A 20275-nucleotide genomic window follows, 5' to 3' on the forward strand; every position below is an offset into this window, starting at 1 on the left:
TCCACTAGTCTAGTGCCACAGCCCACTTCAGGGCTGGTCACCATTCCCCACCCGGCTGTCCCTGTCTTGTGTTCTTTGCTGGTGAGTCTCTGGAACACTTACACAGTCAGCCACTGCTCCTGAGCCTCCCTTGCTGCTGTTCTGTTTGTTTCTCTCTTCTCCTTCTGAAATAGTTTAGCATTACAGATCTCCTCTAACTCCCAATGGCACTGCTGCTCCGTACCCCATTCCTTTGTGTTGTCTAGCCTTACCCTAAGGTGGTCCCATGCTCCCACACTGGCCTTTTCTTTCTCTTTTTTCTCTTTTTGGAGTTCACACTACTCCTAAAGCTTCATCTAGCACTTCTATGGGATTGACTTTTTAAAAAATGGTGTTTTCCACAACTTTTCTCTCCACCACGTTAACCCTGAAGTTCCAGGTACTGACGTGCTTTAACTCAACTCTGCCCAGCAAATACACTCAGCAAATAGAAAATCCTACTCATCACTGCTCTCTTTAAACTGGTGCTTTCTACAGATTTCTTTCTTTGATCAACGAAGCTGTCATTCTATATGAGACCCACACTTTAGTATAATTTCCGAAATATTTCCCATGGCTACTTCTTTCATCGAACCCATTTTTTAGTCTGCATACATTAACTCTTATAAAAAAACCATTGTTGCAAATCTCCCAAAGCCAAATTCATTGCATCCACAGCTACGCCATACTTTTTGGTGAGGTCTGAGCCTCCAATGGTTGGAGTTAGTGAAAGCTCTAAGGTTTTTCTCTCACAACCTCTGATGGCATGTCATAACAAAAATAAGCCTCAGACTGAATTCTGACACATACATCCTTATTAGTCAGTAGGCACAAATGGCATCCAACAACCTGTTGTGTTGGAGTCATGAAGCCCAGCTCTCATCCTTTCCAACACTCTGTTTTGTGTGAAATATTCACTCGATGCTGATGTGACAATATTCTAGCAGCACCATTCAGCTGACATTCTAGTTCAAGTCAGGTGACAAAAATCCATCCAGAATCAGCTAAAAACAGTCAGGCTTGGAACACTAAGCTGAGGAGCCTATTCCAAAGGATGCTGGCAATTAGGCTCACTGGATTTTTCTCTCTTGTTCGCACAAGGGCAGGATTGACTGCATAATATTTCAAGCCAGTCCACATACGTTTCTTCACCAGTTTTATTTAGGAAGTATTTTAATGATGTATTAAGGACTGATGCAACCACCAGCTGAAAAATAAAAAGACTAATACCTTGAAAGTAAGTCACATCAGTGGTGCTTCCAGTCCAAAACCAACTTCACCTGGAATAACCAGAACTCTGGGATCAATATTCCTTTGCTTTCCTGTTCATGTTCACCTGTTGTATCTGTATGTGTTCCCAAAAAAAGCATGTATGTGCATATTTTTTAACTGTTTAGAATTTTGTATTTTGTAATAATTTTAGCATTATATAAAAGTTACAAAAATCACACAGAGTTCCCATACACCTTTCAATCAGGTTTCCCTAATATTTTCACCCTAAACACATAATAAATTAACATAACTAAGAATTTTTCATCAGCGCCATTGTGTAAACTCTACTACTCACTTTGTTCTGATTTTTCCTGGTTTTCCTAAATTCTTTTTCTGTTCCAGGATCTAATCTGAGTTTTTTACTTTGCATTCAATTTTCATGTCTCCTAGCCTCCTCTAAAACCCTCCAAGACAGTTCCTCAGTATGCCCTGGTATCTCATGAGTATGGCTTTTTAAAGAGTACTTGTCAAGTCATTTTATAAAATATACTTTGATATAGCTTGGTCTGATTTTGAGGAAAAAATATATATATAGCAAGAATATCATGCAAGTAGCATAATCTTTCAGGTGTATCACATCAAGGAGTCCAAGATATCTGAATGTCATACTACTGGTGCTGTTGACCTTAATCACTTGGCTGAAGTGGTATCTGCCCCGTTTCTCCCCTTTAAAGTTACTATTTTTTCTTTGTAGTTAATATATATCATAAGGAGATTCTTTGAGATTATTGAAATATCTTCTCAACTTTTAACTTTTGTGAGTACATAGGTGTATATATTTATGGGTGTATATATTATACCTGTATCAAATGTCATCTACCCCATAAATATATATACCTACTATGCAATTATTTTTAACTTAAAGATAGGTTGAATGTGCTCTTTGGGACTTACTGTTTTTACTCATAGTAAGTTATTAATATTTCTTCACATTGTTGCATGTGGTTGTAGTTTGCTCTATTTCATATCTATGTATTCTTTCACTTTCTAGTTAATGGACAAATTTAGGTTACTCTCAGTTGTTTTTTCTCTGATGATACTGCTACAAACATTCTTGTACAAGTCTTTTGTTACACATATATGAAAGTTTTTCTTGAGTATAAATTGAGTTGCAGAATTCCTGGGCCAACAGGGTAAATAAAGGTTTAGGAGAAAATGTCAAGTTGTCCTCCATCATGATTACAAAAGTGGATTCTCTTTCCAGCAATGTAAAAGAGCTGTTTTGTGACACACATTTCTCCAACACTTAGTACAGTCCATTTTAAAATTATTGCCAAATGTATGGTATGAAATAACATCTCAGTGTCGTCTTGATTGGCATTGCCATGATCATATATAAATCAAGTGTTTATTGACTAGGAAATGTGTTTTTGCCTCTTAACCATTTTTCTCTTGGGCTATGTTCTTAATGATTTTAAAGAGCTTTATGCATTTTTGACATGACTCCGTATAACTTAAACACTATTAATTTCACCAATAGAAAAGCATCCACCTTCTCATAGCAGCCTTTCTGTTATTTAACGAACCGTCTGAGTATCATGGGAGTTTAAGCACCACAGAAGGGCTTATAATGGCATACCCAGTAATACGCGCCTTTCTGAGTTTATATCCCCAGGTGGTGTCTGTTAAATGGTTAGCTAAGTGCCCCTTGGCTATGGTTAATTAGTTTAATTTGTATAGCATGTTTACATATATACATTCGCATGCACAAGCACACACACACGCACAACATACAACAACACTGCCTAAAATGAATGACAATGTAACACTCACTGTTTCTGATCCCATTGACACCACCCTGTTGCCCCACCAACACCTTTGGTGATTTCCAGTGGGCTCTTTCTTCCAGTCTCTTTCCTTCTCAGTGCAGCCTGCGCACTGACCCCAGACTCCTCTCTTCATTATCTATTAATACAAATGAAGTCAAAATGCCTCAGTCCTGCCCTGCCCTAGCCTTCCTTCCCAGGCAGCCCTCCTCCTGCTTCTCACAGGCGTGGAGCCTCAGGGCATGAGCTTTGGCATCGATAACTCTGTCCCAGCCTGAGAACTTGGCAGATGTATGACCTGGAAGTCAATCACACACCCTGATGAAAGCTTGGTTTCTTCTTCCGTGAAAGAAGGAGAATCCCAGTGACTATCTCAAAGGCACACAGAGTCCATATGAGGATGAAGTGAGGTAATGTTTTTTCAATGTTCAGTACAGTGTCGGCAAAATAACAATCAATAAATGTTTGTTTTTATGTGCCTATTATTATCATTAATATTGCACTTCAGGCCACGCGCGGTGGCTCACGCCTGTAATCCCAGCACTTTGGGAGGCCGAGGCAGGTGGATCACCTGAGGTCAGGAGTTAGAGACCAGCCTGACCAACATGGAGAAACCCCATCTCTACTAAAAAAAAAAAAAAAAATACAAAATCAGCTGGGCGCGGTGGTGCATGCCTGTAATCCCAGCTACTCAGGAGGCTGAGGCAGGGGAATCGCTTGAACCCCGGAGGCAGAGGTTGCGGTGAGCCGAGATCACGCCATTGCACTCCAGCCTGGGCAACAGAGCAAAACTGAGCATCTTGTTATTCCCTAAATACTAAGGTGGGGATTCACTTGGCCACTCCCCCTTAGCATCTCCTTAAAGATATCTTACTCAACTGCGTGTATAATGGGAGAGAATGCTATGATCTTCAGAATCCTTAAGCACTTTGCTAACACTTACTTTATAACACTTATGGCTAGCAGTTTCTTATACAAACACATTCATCTCTCTGCTGTCTGTGTGCTGCTTGAGAGCAAGAACTATTATATTAGTCACCTCTTTTTCCACGATCTAGAGCCAGGCCTAGAACAGAACAGGTGTTCAGGAAATCTATGTTGTGTGAATGTCTTCCTTCTTTTTTTCTTTTCCTCTTCTTTACTAATCCAAAAAACATTTTTTTTAAATACCCCCATGGAAAAATTCTTATAAGAAAGTTACTTTTGTCTGTAAACCTTATAAAACCTCATGATGTCCAGCCTGGAAACATTATAGTTTCTTTCTTTTTTTTTTTTTTAAATCCCAAATAATGATTCATTGATTCATGCCTGTTCCCATGAATAGGTTCACACAATTCTTACTAATTTTCTTTTCTTTTTGTATTATATAAACCCATAAGTACCAGGGACTCTCTTATGCTCCTTACAAATTGCCCCCAACCCAGGCACAACATATCCCTCACCTACACCAACTGGGCACAGCCATCTTGGCCTCTTGTCTACCTCTTCATTTCTCCTCTGCCACAAGAAATCTGAACATCACCTTTCTCTTTGTCCAAAGTCTTCAGTTTTCCTACGTCACTCAAGGTACAGATTCCCTGAGAGTTTAGTTCTTATTCTGCCTGGCTGCTTTTATGGGGAGAATGTTCCCAGTCATGATGATGCTTTCTTGCTTTGAAATTCCAGGGAGGAAAACAAAGGAAGCAGACAATCCTTCGATGCTCTACTGTGGCCAGAGTTGGGGTGGGGAGGGGAGGAGACCCACACATCAATACACTCTTGCTGCTGTGGTTCTGTAACATTATGATGCATTCATATGATGCCCGGGGATAGACCATATTCATAAATATAAATTATTCTGTAAGTTCAGCTTTAATGTCTTTAAATATTACCTTTTCCATCATCCTTTCCTGGCCTGAAACAAACCAAGGAGCACAAGCTGTCACGTTCTGTCTTATGTCATTCGCAATCACAATCATTAGATCATTTGATTAACTTCATGAGCTAGAAGAGTCCGTTCAATGAACTGTGCTCATACTCAGGGTCCTAGAGCTCACATCCATCACCACACATGCTCAGACATGATGGAGGACACTCACATTCACCTAGGTGAGGCTTTTCCTCAACATCCTAGTCCAACCCTTCATTTACTCTTATGCTTCAAAAAACATGTACCAGAGGGGGAAAAAATCAGACAACATCTATTATCTATTTTTAAAAATCTATTATGTTAAGGGTAAATAGAGGAGGTAGGGTGATGAAAAGAGAGTAACTATATGCAAATGATGTGATGATTATGTGCATAATCATATTCTTGGAACTCATTACTCAAGAGTTCCAATCTACCTCTGCTCCACGATTGTGTGTGTGAGGATCCAGTGCAAGAGAGAGGAACTGCCCCAGGTATTTGGAACACAGAAAGGTTTAATACAAGGAAGTGGGTGCCCATAAAATCACTGGACAGATCAAGGAATGGGCCTGCTGCTGAGCTACTGACAGCACTATAGAGAAGAACCAGAAAAGAGGAGGCTGCCCCTGACTCCACTGACTCTGCTGGCTCCCTAGAACGGGGTGTCTGGACTCAAAATGCACTCCCATGAGACCCACCTCCTTGCTTTCAGAAGCTGCAGGAGGTGGACCACAGCTGCTACTCCAGATCTACCTTCCAAATCTTCCACAGGTTTTTCTGACTGTGGCAGACAATTCTCAATCTAATCTCCAGCTGCTCACAAGTATCCTTTGCAGCTTCCTGACTTCTCCCAATAGAAGAGGTGAAAGGGGGTGAGAGAGCCAAGCCACCATGCAGTAAAATGAATTGTTTCCCTATTGTGCAGAGTGGGATTTAAGCTCAGGCTCTTCTCTACCACTCCCACCACTCAGGCTGTTTCTTCTGGAGCAATTCTGTTAACATGTGAGCTTTGGTTTTTGTAGCAGCAAGGTATTGTCCTTGTCCATTTGTTGAAGTATTGAATATAATGCATACGCAGGACTAGTATAGTGCCTGAAACAAGGTAGGTACTTGATAAATTGAAACTCTTATTGTCCTCCCTCAAGAATGATACAGTATAAACGTCAGTTACAAACACTGACCAAGCACCAGCTATGTACTTGGATGCTTTCATGACCTCATCCCAGTTAATCACCATAACAATCCCATAGTGTGCACCTTGAAATATCCATGTAGTTGGTGAGGAACCAAGGTTCAGAGAGAACATGCAACTGATCCAAGGTGAAGGCAGGGTCCCCTTCTCTTGCCTCCCCACCCAATTCCAACACACACACACACACACACACACACACACACAATCTGAATAAAATGCCACCTATTTTTCTTATGCCACTGTAGAAGGGCTAATTTTTCTTTCTTTCTTCCCCCGCACCTTATTTTATTTTATTTTTTTAAATGGAGTCTTGCTCTGTCACCCAGGCTGGAGTGCAGTGGCGCAATATTGGCTCACTACAACTTCTGCCTCCTGGTTGAAGCGATTCTCCTGCCTCAGGCTCCCAGGTAGCTGGGATTACAGGCGTGTGCCACCACACCTGGCTAACTTCTGTATTTTTAGTAGAGATGGGGTTTCACTATGTTGGCCAGGCTGGTCTTGAACTCCTGACCTCAAGTGATCCACCCGCCTCAGCCTCCCAAAGTGCTAGGATTACAGGTGTGAGCCACCACGCCTGGCCAGAAGGGCTAATATTAATATCAGACTCTTTCACTCACTCTCCTCTTCATGACTTGTAGGAATGGAGAAAGTGTGGCATCTGTGATCACAGCCCTACTGTCTGCACCCTTCTGCCTCACTCTCCTTTCTTGATCTCTCTGCAGCTTTATACTAAAACCATTTCAGTTGTTTGCATGGACAGAGAATCTTCCAGCTGTGTCATTCTTCCTTCTCTCCCAGCCTTCCAGCCTTGGGGAACTCATTCGTTCATGCAAGGGGCATCTTCTATTAGTGTCTACTGAGCGAGGCACCCTGATAAAGACTCAGAGATGAACAAAGCTCAGACCGTCCCCTCAAAAGTCCATGCAGTCTTATGAGGAATGAAAGGATGTGCACCCAAGGGACTGCAGTGACATTTGAGAAAACATTATTAAAATGCTTGAGCTCAGACTGCAGGAGCTTGCATGAGTGAGTCTACCCCATGATGGGGGAGAAGAGGCAGGATCAGGGGAGACTTCACACAGAAAGCAACTTTTATAACAGCTTTATTGAAGTGTGATTGATATACAAAAACTACATGTATTTAATGTGGACAATTTAAATTGGATGAGTTCGAATATATGTAAACACCTGTGATACCATCACCAAAACTGAGGTAATAGGCATAACCAACACCCCCCAAAGTTTCCTTGTGTCCCTTTTGTTTAGTTTTGTGTTTGTGGCAAGGACGTGTAACATGATATCTGCCCTCTTAACAAATTTTGAGTTGACAATACTGTGTTGACTAAAGGCACTATACTGCATAGTGTAGTATAGATCTCTAGAACCTACTCATCTTGTAGAACTGAAACTTTATACCCACTGAACAATTCATTTTGCCCACCCAGTCCCCCACCCCAGCTCCTGAAAACTACTATTGTATTCTCTATTTCTGTGAGTTCAACTCTTTTGTCTTTGTTTTGTTTTGCTTTTTTGTTCAGATGGGGTCTCACTCTGTTGCCCAGGATGGAGTGCAGTGGGGCATTCATGGCTCACTGCAGCCTTGACCTCCCAGGCTTAAGCGATCCTTTCACCTCAGCCTCCCAGGTAGCTGGGACTACAGGCACATGCCACCATGCCAGGCTAATTTTTTAAAATTATTTTTTGTAAAGACAGAGTGTCACTATGTTGCCCAATCTGGTGTTGAACTCCTGGGCTCAAGCTATCCTCCCATTTTGGCTTCTCAAAGTGCTAGGGTTACAGGTATGAGCCACTGCGCCTGGTCCAAGAGTTTGACTGGTTTAGATTCCTCATATGAGTGTAATCATGCAGTGTTTGTACTTCTGTTCATAGCTTATTTCACTTAACAAAATGTTTCACAGGTTCATCCATGCTGTTGCAAATGTCAAGATTTCTTTCTTTTTTAAGGCTGGGTAATATTCTATTGCATAGATACAGCACATCTTCTCTACTCACTCATTTGTGGATGAAAACAGGTTGACTGCATTTCTTTACTGTTGTCAATAATGCTGCAATGAACATGGAAGTGCAGATATCTCTTTGAGATCCTGATTTCAATTCTTTTGGAAATATACCCAGAAGTGAAATCACTGTGTCATATGGTAAAGCTGAACTTTGATGAATGCTGTATTTCACCAAGTAGAGAAAAAAGAAAAGCATGGGGTGCCTGAAGCATAGGATGGTGTCCTAAAGAGACCCTCGGCCTTTGCAGCTTCACATTAGTAAGCCCTGCTGACACTGTGCAATGTCTGGACATCATTGGGATACTACATTTTGAGAGGGAATAGGGGCATGCTGAAACCTTTCAAATGACTCATGTCTCTTAAGTCCTGGAAGTGCTAACCCATTGCTATTGAAAGCACAGAAACTCCATCTGTCCCCAGATATAATAGACACCATGACAACACTCAGGGGGAGTGAAAGCATAAGTGGAAACCGGGGCCAGAAGATCCTGGCTCAGTGAATGGTGAGTCCTTGGATGCTTGGTGTGATTAATGGGTGGGTTGGGATAAGGGTGGGGAGGAGAAGAGGCTGGAGGGGTGAGGAAGAGGCAGCCATGGGGACAGGCCCTAGGAGAGACATGTTGGGCCCATGCCGCAGAGTCCTTGAATGTCATGATAAGATGTCCAGGCCCCTCATCTCAGATGCAGTGGGGAAGCTCTTTGCTTGTCTTCACTGGCACTCCACAAGGCAACCTTCTCCAGTCACTATCAGCCCCAGGGAAGTTCTGCTGACATTACTGGCAAAACCACTCTCCTCTGTCTCTGTCTCTGTCTCTTTCTCTCTCTCTTTCTCTTTTCCCTTTCTCTCTCTCTCTTTCACACACACACACACACACACACACACACACGCACACACAAACACACAATTATTTGATTATTTGTCAGTGAATCTGTAATGGCTCTCTCCATAGACCCTATGTCTAGGTTAAGAAACTGTATCTGACTTAGTTAATTATTTTTCTCACTGTGCATGTAACATATGTAATTTTTAAAAATAAGGAAAAAGAAAACAGCTCTAAAATTACTATGTAAAGTATGATTTTGCTACTTCTTGGTGTACTTGGTGTACAGCTCATGGTGAGTCACAGTGTTGCATGACTCCATGGGCAGGAACCTAAATATCCATGAAGCCACAAACCACAGCTCACCATTCCCTAGGATCTGCTAACTCTTCCCAGCCCACCGGACAGAAGAAATGCCTGGCAATGTGGTGGCAGGTAACAAGCAGACACACGATGCTGAAGACCCAGTCATCAAAGAGCCTTTACTTCCTTCTGCAAAGGCAAGACTCATGGCAGACGTGTCCATGCACACCAAGTTTGAGAGCTGCCATGAGACTCCCTTCTGTTGTGAAAAATACTCATCAGGCTTTTCAGAACTCTCTGTGCACCCCCAGCATAGCAGTCAGGAGAGAGATAGGAAATGTCCTCCGCACTTTGGAGCCCAGCTCTTGCCAAGAAGCGTTACAAAGTCTTCTAGCTGGCTCTGCTCTCCCAGCACAATTATTCAGGCCCTGGAGAAGAATAGAAATGATGCTTCTGCTGCCACTCCCTTCCCACCAGAGGGTGGTCAGCTCTGAAAGCTCCCCAGGCTGAGTAGGATGACCAGAGGAGAATCTGCCTAGGTCAACTCTGCCCAGGCTCCTGATGCCCATGCTCCAGCCAACACCTTCCAAGTGGACTGGCTCTGCCACCCAGCTGCTTGTGTTTCTTCCTATATGTTAAGTCTGAGCATCTAACTCATCTCTAGGAAGGGAAAATTAGAGCTTTTACTATATTCTCTATTCAGACTGTCTAAAACAGATGGGTCTGGTGTGCTGCTGAGGAGGTGGTCCACCTGATGTGACCTGGAGGTGGGGTGGAGGGAAGTAGCATCACACTGAGATTCATGAAGACACCAAAAAGCAGAGTCGGTGGGGTAGGGAGTGAGCAGAGCTAAGAACTGAGTCCCCAGGGAAAAGCTTAGTCCAATTCACCCAAGAAGAGGATCTTAATGAGTTGCTAATGTCAAGGGATTGGAGACAGATATCAAGACAGAGCACTAAACTAGGGGTGTTTTCAACAAAAATATGATCCGCAGCAGAGGGATATGGGTTTCACCGGGTTCCCTGGCCAACAACCTCCATGCAGCTTATAGGGTGGCAACCTACAGTGTCCCCTTATATTGTCACAGCTTTGGGGTGAGAATCCAGGCCTTCCTTTACAACATGTTTAGCTTCCCTGAGAAAGCAAGAAATAAAAATCAGACAAAAAAGAGGCCGGTTTCTCCAGGTGATAATCAAACCATTAGTTTTCAGTCTAGAAACACCTCAGATGAAGATGCAATATGGGCAACGCTCAGGGATGGGTTGCTCCAATCACAGATGTAGCTCCAGATGGAGATTTTGTGGATCATGGGCCCCCAGCAAGGGGAGGCTGTCAGCATGGCCAGGTTCAGGCCTGATATGAACAAGAGTCCACTGGCCCAGACTTTGATCCATAGAGTTTTTCAGTTATCAGGTCCTAGCATTCCAGAGGGAAGGAGGCAGGTGTCCCCAGCACCTAAACTCTTGAAAGCCAGAAACTCTTCAAGCACCATCCAGTAATACCATAAACATGTGTACAGAGTGAAGGATGAGGTGGGAGAGCTTTTCAGTGGTAATCATGACACACAAAACAGACTAATTATGATAATCTCATCCAAAATCCAAACTCCTAAACCAGCAAAATGATTTGGGAAGACATGCAGAATCTCAGAGCCCACTGCCTGGTTTAACATTTGGTTTCAACACTGTATGCCCATGAGACTTTGGGTTTATAACCCATACTTCTCTGCCAAACTCAGCTCAAGTCCTGTCTCTTCAGAAAACCACCCCTTATTGCTCCTAGCTGCTTTTCTGATCCCCTGCTCTTTTAAAGTCCTAATGCCCTTGAGGCGTATCTTACAATTCAGTACTTGGTGAATTCTGTCTCAGGCTGTTGTAATTGTTCTAGAGGAGAAAGCCCTGTTACAAAAGGTTTGCCAACTGTAAAAGAGTAACTTTCTCTCTTCCTCAGCAATGAGAACAGTTCAAAATATACTGTAGATTGTCAAGAAGGCCTGTGGGTTGGCTGAACCACGTAGATGTAGACCTCTTTTACACTATAGCCAGAGCAATTGTAATTCCATCGTACTAAACCACTCTCAAGGCTGAAGTTACATGTAATAAAAGGACCTGTTCTGGCTCCAAAACAGAGCTAAGCACCTCGTCCTTCTATGACCTGATGTTGTGAATGGCCTCACCGTCTGTCCTCTAACACAAATCAGAAATCCAGATTTGATCATTATCTTTGATTCTTCCTTCCTTCTTCCTCAGCCCCTAAAACCAGTTGGCCCCCAAGCCTTATCAATTCTTACCTGTTCACATCTCTCAGATGGTGTTATGCCTCTCCATCACTCCTGTGACTGAAGTCACACCCTCATCATTCCAACCAGCTTTTGTGCACAACCTCATCATGCCTGTTCGTCTACTTCCACACTGAATGATTCATCCGCCAAATCTCCAATCCATCATGCCTCTTAAAACGGTTTAAAGTCGTGTAGTTGCTTCCCACTGCTTCCAAGATTTGTTTATCTACTTATCACCGTGTTCAAGGTCTTTCATCACGAGCTCCTAGAGACACTTCTTATCTCAGTACCCTTTGGCTGAGTCACATTAACCAATTTGTAATTCCCTGAGGTCCATGCATTTTATGCAACAGTTCTTGCTCTGCAATAATCTACCATCTCTTCGTCCACTTCTTAAGGCTCTGTCTGTCCTTCAAGTCACCACTCAAGCATTTTCTCTTTGTGAAGGCATTCCCAGAGTAGGATAGGAATCTGCATTCAAGTAATTCTCTACTAACATTAAAGCACTTATTACCTCGTGTTGTCATTATGAATCTTATTGACCACCTTGGCCATTATTAAACTACACACTTGCCCCTTTTAGATCAGAAATGGTATCTCATTCATCTGTGAATCCTCAGAGCTTAACCCAGTGCCTGGCTCAATAAATGATTATCAAGTGCATGGATGAATAGAGAAAGAAAAGAATGAATACAAGAATGGATGAAAAAGTGACTGAGCAAAGGAATGAGTAAGTGAAAAATGAGTGACAGCGCAGCACAACCCTTTAACCAGCTCTGCAGTTGGTTATCCATTGCATGTAAATGCCGCAACCGTGGGCTTCTTCTCATTGCCTGAGTTACCCCTGGGCAGCTTCATCTACTTCTTTGCATTAATGGCCTCTTGTAGGTTCTCCCCTCTAATAATCTCTATTTCCAGAAAATGGGCCCATGAGTTTCAGACTCGAACATGCACTTTAGTTGTACATCCCCATGTGGATGTTCCACAGACACTTCAAATTCAGAATGTTCCAAATTCATGATCTTTCTTCTATAACTCTGTTATTCGTGTTTCCTTTCTCAATGAAAAGCATCATTTCTGTAAGTGCAATCCTTATTTCTCCAAATTTCAAACATCCACATTCTATCAAGCCCTAGTATGTCTACCTTATAAATATCTCATACCACACCGGGCTCCCTCCAAACCCGCTGGCATTACTCTAGCCCAGGAAAGAACCCTGGCCCTCCTGGATGATTCCCACTGTCTCCTGGTCTCACTGCTTGCATTTTGTCCTGCTCAAATCTACTTTCCACCCACCAGCCAGGCTGCCATTTCACAATGAGCTCACCCCAGTGATTAAAACCCTCCAGTTGTTTTCCAGTGTCCTCTGGCTAAAGGCCAAACTCTTTTAAAAAGTTTACTGTGCCCTTCCTGATCCCTCACCACTCAGCCTTGAACCTGGTAACTCACTGCCTTCTGTCTACCATAATCTCCAATTGTGTTAAAGCACTTTCAGCTCTTCAAAGACAGGCTGTCCTCTGGGGCTCCAGGCTGACTCACATATGGCTCTTTCATTGTGAAACACCCTCCCTCATTCTGGCTACACAGCCTGCATGACTCCTGGCTCAGCTGATCTGTCACCTCCTATAAGAAGCCTCCCCTGCCCACTGGGTTGGGGCCCCTCCCATGTCCTTCTGTGAGAGCCTGCACTTCCTGTTTCATAGGAATCATAGGACTTACCACGTGATTATAGCTTTCGGTAATATGTCTTCTCTACACTCTGAGAACCATAACTAAACCATTAGATGACGGATCAGGATAGTGTGTGTGTTTGGAACTGTTGATCATTGAGCAATATCCATGTGAGCCTTTTCCTTTGATGCAGGTGACTGATAAATTTTCAGTCTCACAGTAAGTGCTCTGTGAGACACAGAGTCAAGGTGATTCTCTCGTACCTTGAGACCCATCTGTGCTTCTTTCTCCTGTCTCTGAGCCCCTCCTGTATGAAAATGATAGGGAGGCACTTGGAGCTCCAGGAGATTAGATACTTGATCAATCCCATGTGTGATTGGATTTCCAGCATCTAGTAAGGAAAGCTCTAAAAGAATATGTATAGTATATTGAATGAATATTGAACATTTGAACATTTGACTAATGAACAGACACTCACCAAGGACCTGTAACATTTTAGAAATGGTGTCAGGATCCTAGAGGAATACAAAGATATTCCCCACCCATGAGAAGGGCAGGATCTGATTGAGAAGACACAGAAACACATAAAAAGAATATTACTACAGTGCAGAACATTGTCCCAGAGAATCTGTGAGAAAGACTTGGTTGGTGCTTGAAAATTCAAAAAGAAAAAAAAAAGTGGCCAGGCTCAGTGGCTTATGCTTGTAATTCTAGCATTTTGGGAGGCTGAGGTGCATAGATAGCTTGAGCCCAGGAGCTCAAGACCAGCCTGGGCAAAATGACAAAAACCTGTCTCTACCAAAAGTGGTGCACACCTGTAGTCCTAGCTGCCCAGGAAGCAGAGGTTGCAGTGAGCCGAGATCATGCCACTTGCACACTAGCCTGTGCAACAGAGCCCTGTCTCAAAAGAATGAAAGAAAGAAAGAAAGAAAGAAAGAAAGAAAGAAAGAAAGAAAGAAAGAAAGAAAGAAAGAAAAGAAAAGAAAAGAAAAGGGAAGAAAAGAAAAGAAAAGGATAAATGCTCCAAGACATGACAGTTAGCAGAGTGAAAAGAAATCAGTTTGCACTGAAATATATTCTAGGATTAGGAAGCCACGCTTTGGAAACAGCAAGACAAGGCAGGAATAAGTGTCACGCATTTGGGGGCTCTACAGAGAAGGAAAAAAGAAAAAATAGACATTTTGAATAATGTCTATGTGCACATTACAATTTCATGTGAATTACTCACATTGTTTAATTTAATGCACTAGATTAAAAAGAAATGTTACATATTCTAAAAATTGCCCTGTTTTGACAAATAAGGAAAATGAAGCTCTGAGAAGTTCAGTAAATTTCACAGGAGCCTGCAAAAGTTTCAGGACTAGGATTTCAACCCCAACTCCTTTGACTCCAAGATTATTCCTTTCTTCTAGCCTGGCAGGTGAAAGCCTAGACTGGCAAATATTTTGTATGGGATGACGGTGGGAGTTAATGTTGAATCACAGCTGGAGAGCCCATATATTTCCAGTTCTCTGTTATGGCCATTTTCCCCTATCTGATTCCTATTTCCACTTTAATGGGTTGAGAACAATATCTGAGTCCTCTGAATAGTCACAATTTTTTTTTTTTTTTTTGAGATGGAGTCTCGTTCTGTCTCCCAGGCTGTAGTGCAGTGGCGTGACCTCAGCTCACTGCAACCTCCGCCTCCTGGGATCAAGCAATTCTCCTGCCTCAGCCTCCCGAGTAGCTGGGATCATAGGTGTGTGCCACCACACCAAGCTAATTTTTTATTTCTATTTTTAGTAGAGAGGGGGTTCCACCATGTTGCCCAGGCTGGTCTTGAACTTCTAACCTCAGGTGATCCACCAGTCTCGGCCTCCCAAAGTGCTGGTATTACAGGCATGAGCCACCGTGCCCAGCCTTGGATAGTCACAGGTAGACCATTTTTCATACCATGGACCAAGGAGCAAATCTTTTGGATTGTTCTCTGTTGAATTTCCAGGGATTTGTCTATATGAATTGATTCCCGGGTAGCGCATATGAATTATTAAGCAGTCGTATAATATTTGACTTTCTCTCTTGTTTTACAGGCAATCTGTGAGAATGACTGGGTTAATGCTTAAAAAGTCAAAAGAAAAGCAAAAAGTCTACACAGTAGTCTTTTTATTTATTGCTGGTGCCCCTCACTGTCTTTGGGAAGCTCACCATATCATGCCCAATGGATAAGGGATTTGCTGAGCCCTCAAAACCATGTGCTCATAGAACCTGTCTTAAGATTTGCTTCAACTATGAAAATGCTTTCACCTTTATCCTAATATAAGATGCTATTTTTCCCCTTAGAATGTGTAACTATGGTTTTCATAGAATAAATCATGCCAATAAATACTTTCACATATTGCTGGTAGGAGTATAAATGGATTCAACCATTTTGGAAGGCAAATTGGAAATATGTATCAAGAACTTTAAAAATGTCACTTTGGTACAATAATAACATTTCTTTGACTCTATCCTGAGAAAATTACCCAAGAGAGATAGAGAGATAAAAACTTCATATCAAAGATACTCATCATGGATTATTTGTAAGAAACATTATAAATGATGAACGAAAGGTTACCTCCACATAGTAATTTTTATTTTGATGTTTCTATAACGACATGAAACTGGTAACTTTTGGTGGTAAGTGACAAAAGGAGGACATAAAATTGTAGGTAGAGTATGAAAACTGTGAAAATTAGTATGCACTGAGGAAGATTTAATTAAACTACATCAAAATGTAGAAATGTTAGGGTAGTATAATAAATAATATATTGTTTTCTACATTTCTTACATGAAAAAATGTTAAGCAATGATCATGTTTGCTTTTATAATCAGAAAAAAATTATTTAAAGAGCTTTTTCTTGTTGATATTACAGACAAAAGAGAACAGTAGAAATTGAGAGATACTAGTTTTATAAATCAGAAGCAAAAGAAAGACTTTGAGACATAGCTCAAGAGATGTTGACATAAGAAAGTTAAGTAGCAAGCAATAATGGAGTCTGTGTGGTCAGATGCTGGAAAAATCTAGAATGACTTCCAGACACCTTTCCAGTTGCCAGGAGAGGGAAGGAATCAAGACTGCACAACATCCCCAAAGAAAACCTGAACAACAATGTGCACTGACTCCTAAAATAAAGAGACTGAGGAATCGAATAAAGTTGCAGAGAACAGAGGGATGTCTGACAAACAGATAATTAGAATCTTCTAAGGAGAGGGAAAATGTGACATTCACGACTAGCTTTAAAAATAGTGATCTTTAAATCCTGAGTAGCGTCACAGTCACATGAGAATAGGTGGAGCCTTGGCAGGCACGTTACACGAGAGAATATAGAGGGAGAGTCTAAAGAGTTGTGATTGAGTCAGTATGTGTTTCAGGAGCCTCTTCCCTAGCACAGCACATCGCCAAGCCCACACTGTCTACCCTGGTGTGAATTCAGAGCCGCAGCGTGTGCGGACGGAACTGCGAGTCAGTCTCCCTAAGTGTCGAGGCCCCAGAGTCTGACGCGGCTGTAGGTGGTGCCACTCACGGATGAGATCAGCCACTTCATGCAGCCAATGCGAAACAGTCACTCTCCCAATATAGCAGGGACTGACTAACGCAGCAATAATGCCGGGAAGATGCTGGCACCTCTGGGAGAACGCGAAGATGCTCCTTGGTCTGGGCTGAAGGCTGCATTAGAGGGGAGGGTGTTATAGGCGAAGGATTTTTTTATAAGATGCACCAAAAATCCCTCTGGCATCATTTCACCAACATATCACTTTAAACATGTTTGTCCATATATAAAGCCACAGCCCATTACAATAAGCGAGATGCAAACTGCCTGTACTCAACCACTGTTCATCATTCACATTAAACAGAGCATAACTACTTTATTCATTCAAACTCTAGTCCTCATGAGAAACACCTGATAGGTGCCTATCCTTTAGTGTCTGAGCTGTAGGCCTCAAAAGAGGCCCAGGAATTTACATTTTAATAAGCATCTGCATTCATTAAGATAGAGGAAATCCAAAGATTTAACTAAGAAATGCTGCTCTGGGGTATCTATTTATCAATCAGTGAACAAAACTTTTTAAACTACTGTCAGTTTCACAAATATGATTCAATATAGTCATGGGAGGAACTAACACCAGTTCTTAATAAAGCTGAGGCTGCTGGTTCTATATTGAACCCAGTTACCGTCAATATTTTCATTAAAGAGTTGGAGGGAGACAACTAGATGTCATGACTCTGAAATCATCAGATGCCGTAGGCAGAATGAGATAACCAAAACATCAAATGGTGGAATCAGGACTTTAAAAGGTGCTGGCGTATTGAGAACAACGGAACAAAGCTAACCAGATGAAAATAAATATGTATAAATATCCAGTTCTGTATTTTGAATCAAATAGTAACATGCCCAAGGATGAAAGCACCTGGTTTCATCGGTAAACAAGGCCCAGAAGTTTGAAATTAAGTCACCTGGACTGATAGGCTTGCATGCCAGCGTTTAGTGCTCATGACAGAAAAAAGAATGGCCCCAATACATCACGCTGTGCACTCAACACCTGGAGTGCTGGGTTCTGTGTTGGGAGCCACATTTTAATAACAAAAATTGCAAATTGAGACACACCCAATAGTGAAAATTTTGATGGTAAAGGCCTTGAAAACCATTTCCTATGAGGAAAAGTGAAGGAATGAGGAATGTTTCGCCTGGAAAATAGAAGAGTTGGGAGAGAAATTAGCTGTTGTCAAATCTATGAAAAGTACTAATGAAAGAATAATTCAATCCACTCTTTGTTGTTCCAAAGAGTAAAACTGAGGTCAATGGGGATAATAATATAAGCCATAATGCAACTGAAAGCGATGTTGGCCTATGCTCACCACCTCACATTTGTGATGGTGCTCCCTGCACACGACCTGTTCCCGTCTCACAGATGAGTCATCTGGCCCTCCTCTAGGCACTCGCCATTCTGGCCCTCCTACTGGAATGGGCTCTCTTATCTGTCTACCTGGCTGACACCTACTCACTATTGAGGGCTTGATTCTCTCCTCCTCTATGAAATCTTGGCACCAACACCTACAACACAAAGACTGCCACTGAGGTGTCATCCTTGTGCACCCCCAGGCCCCACAGACTTCATCACAGCCGCCTCCCCTGGTGGATGAACAATCATGCAAACTTCTGCTTCATTTGCTGAGCTATGTTTAGGCCTTATTGATTTTCTTATACCCAGCACCAAACAGTACCTTAGGAGATACAGAGAGAGATAAAGAAAGAGAGAGACATAGAAAAAGAATTCGTCTAGGAGCCATAGCTAATTTACTTACACCTCCTAGATGTAAACCAAATCAGGAGTAAGAACCAAACTAGAATCTTCACCCTTAGGAAAAGTTGTTAAGATCTGACTAATGACATGCTTTTAAAAGAGATCAGTCTACAGAGATGAGAACTCAGCCTGAGGCACCACCATGAACTCTATGTGAAAACCACATGGCATGTTGGCAGTGAACTCTTGGTAGGAGATCCAAAGAGACAGAATAGAAATGTTGTTCCTTGAAGGAGAAGAAACATAATCTTGATCATTTGTTTTATTGTAATTCTCTAATTTGAGTGCTAGTATTTCTAAGATAAACCAGCATGTTTATACTTAAAGCTTCTTTGTCCTGAACCAGTAGGATGTCATTATATATAAAGACAATATTATGAAAACCGAAATTATCCTAATCAAGTACATAAAATGAAGACATTAACATTTAAAGCTGAATCGTATCATGTTGCATTGAGTATATGTAATAACAGATTATATGATTATATTGTATCATAAAAGTAGCTATGATACTACATAAAAGTAGCTTAAAATGAAGGTGGGGGGTAATAACACTGCAATTCCGATGTGTTATTAACCATCCTGTTTTGTAGTTCCCAAAATCTGCAGATTTCAGATTATTTGGCAATTGCCCTATATTCTGGAAGGCCACCAGAGAGCTGAAGACAAAGGGGCAATGATGTGCCAAAAGCAGAAGCTTAAAGAATAGTCAGATTTCTCCAAAGAAGATACACAAAGGGCTGATGAGCTCGTGTAAAGATGCTCAACATCATTAGTCATCAGTGGAATGCAAATCAAAACCTCAATTAGATACCACTTCACACCCCACTTGGATGGCTATAATCAAAAGACAGATAATAACGAGTGTTGGCAAGGATATGGGGAAATCAGAACCCTCCTGCCCTGCTGTGGGAATGTAATATGGTGCAACTGGACATTTCTTCAAATGATTACACAGAGAGTTACCATTTAATCTAATAATTTCACTCTTAGGTAGATACCCAAAAGAAATGAAAATATGTCCCCCCGCAAAAAAAAAAAAAACCCACTTACAAACAAATGTTGATAGCGGCATTCTTTATAATAGCCAAAAGGTGGAAACAACTCCAACTGACCACCAATTGACGAACAGACAAACAATGTGGTATATACAAAGATGGAATGATATATGATTAGAAAAGGGATGTAATACTAATACATGCTACAATATGAATGAACCTTGAAAGCACTATGCTAAAGGAAAGAAGCTAAACACCAAAGCCCATATATTATATGATTCCATTTTATGCAATGTCCAAAATAGGCAAATCTATAGAGACAGAAAGTGGATTAGTAGTTTCCAGGGACTGGAGGAGGGGATGGAGTCTCTTGGCGAGTGAGATAGCTAAAGGGTATTGGTTTATTTTGGGGGGTGATAAAAAGTTTCTAATACTGATTTTCATAGTCCGTGAGTCTGTAAATATACTAAAAACAAGGAAACTGTATACTTAAAATTGGAAAATTGTATGGTATATGAATTATATTTCAAAATCTGTTAATCAAAAAAGATAATCAGAAAACCGCAGGAGAGAAAAAACTCAAGAAGATATTTTTCAAAGGTTGCAACTTTCTGATCTTTGGGGAAAATAGGATAGATTCTGAAAAGAAGGCCCTAAACAACGTTTCTGAGAGTTTAATTCTAGTGTCTAAGAAACTGGGCAGGTGTTCCTGTTGGAAAATG

General features: G+C 41.6%; 1 long non-coding RNA gene across 1 annotated transcript in view, besides 1 other annotated feature; it reads right to left on the bottom strand.

Moving 5' to 3' along the window:
- The window catches only part of LINC00299 (long intergenic non-protein coding RNA 299), a 320649-nt gene that overhangs the window by 70240 nt on the left and 230134 nt on the right, over positions 1 to 20275 (bottom strand). The gene's annotated exons all lie outside the window — the stretch shown is intronic.
- Positions 8465 to 9664: an enhancer, noted in NCBI's record as "MED14-independent group 3 enhancer chr2:8226605-8227804 (GRCh37/hg19 assembly coordinates)". NCBI's record gives its function as "activates an origin of replication core promoter dependent on BRD2, BRD4, P300/CBP and CDK7 cofactors, and independent of MED14, by STARR-seq in HCT116 cells {active_cell/tissue: HCT116}" and the evidence as "EXISTENCE:reporter gene assay evidence [ECO:0000049][PMID:35650434]".

Source organism: Homo sapiens, chromosome 2 (assembly GCF_000001405.40).
Source record: "Homo sapiens chromosome 2, GRCh38.p14 Primary Assembly".
In the NCBI taxonomy this organism is placed as follows: Eukaryota; Metazoa; Chordata; class Mammalia; order Primates; family Hominidae; genus Homo; species Homo sapiens.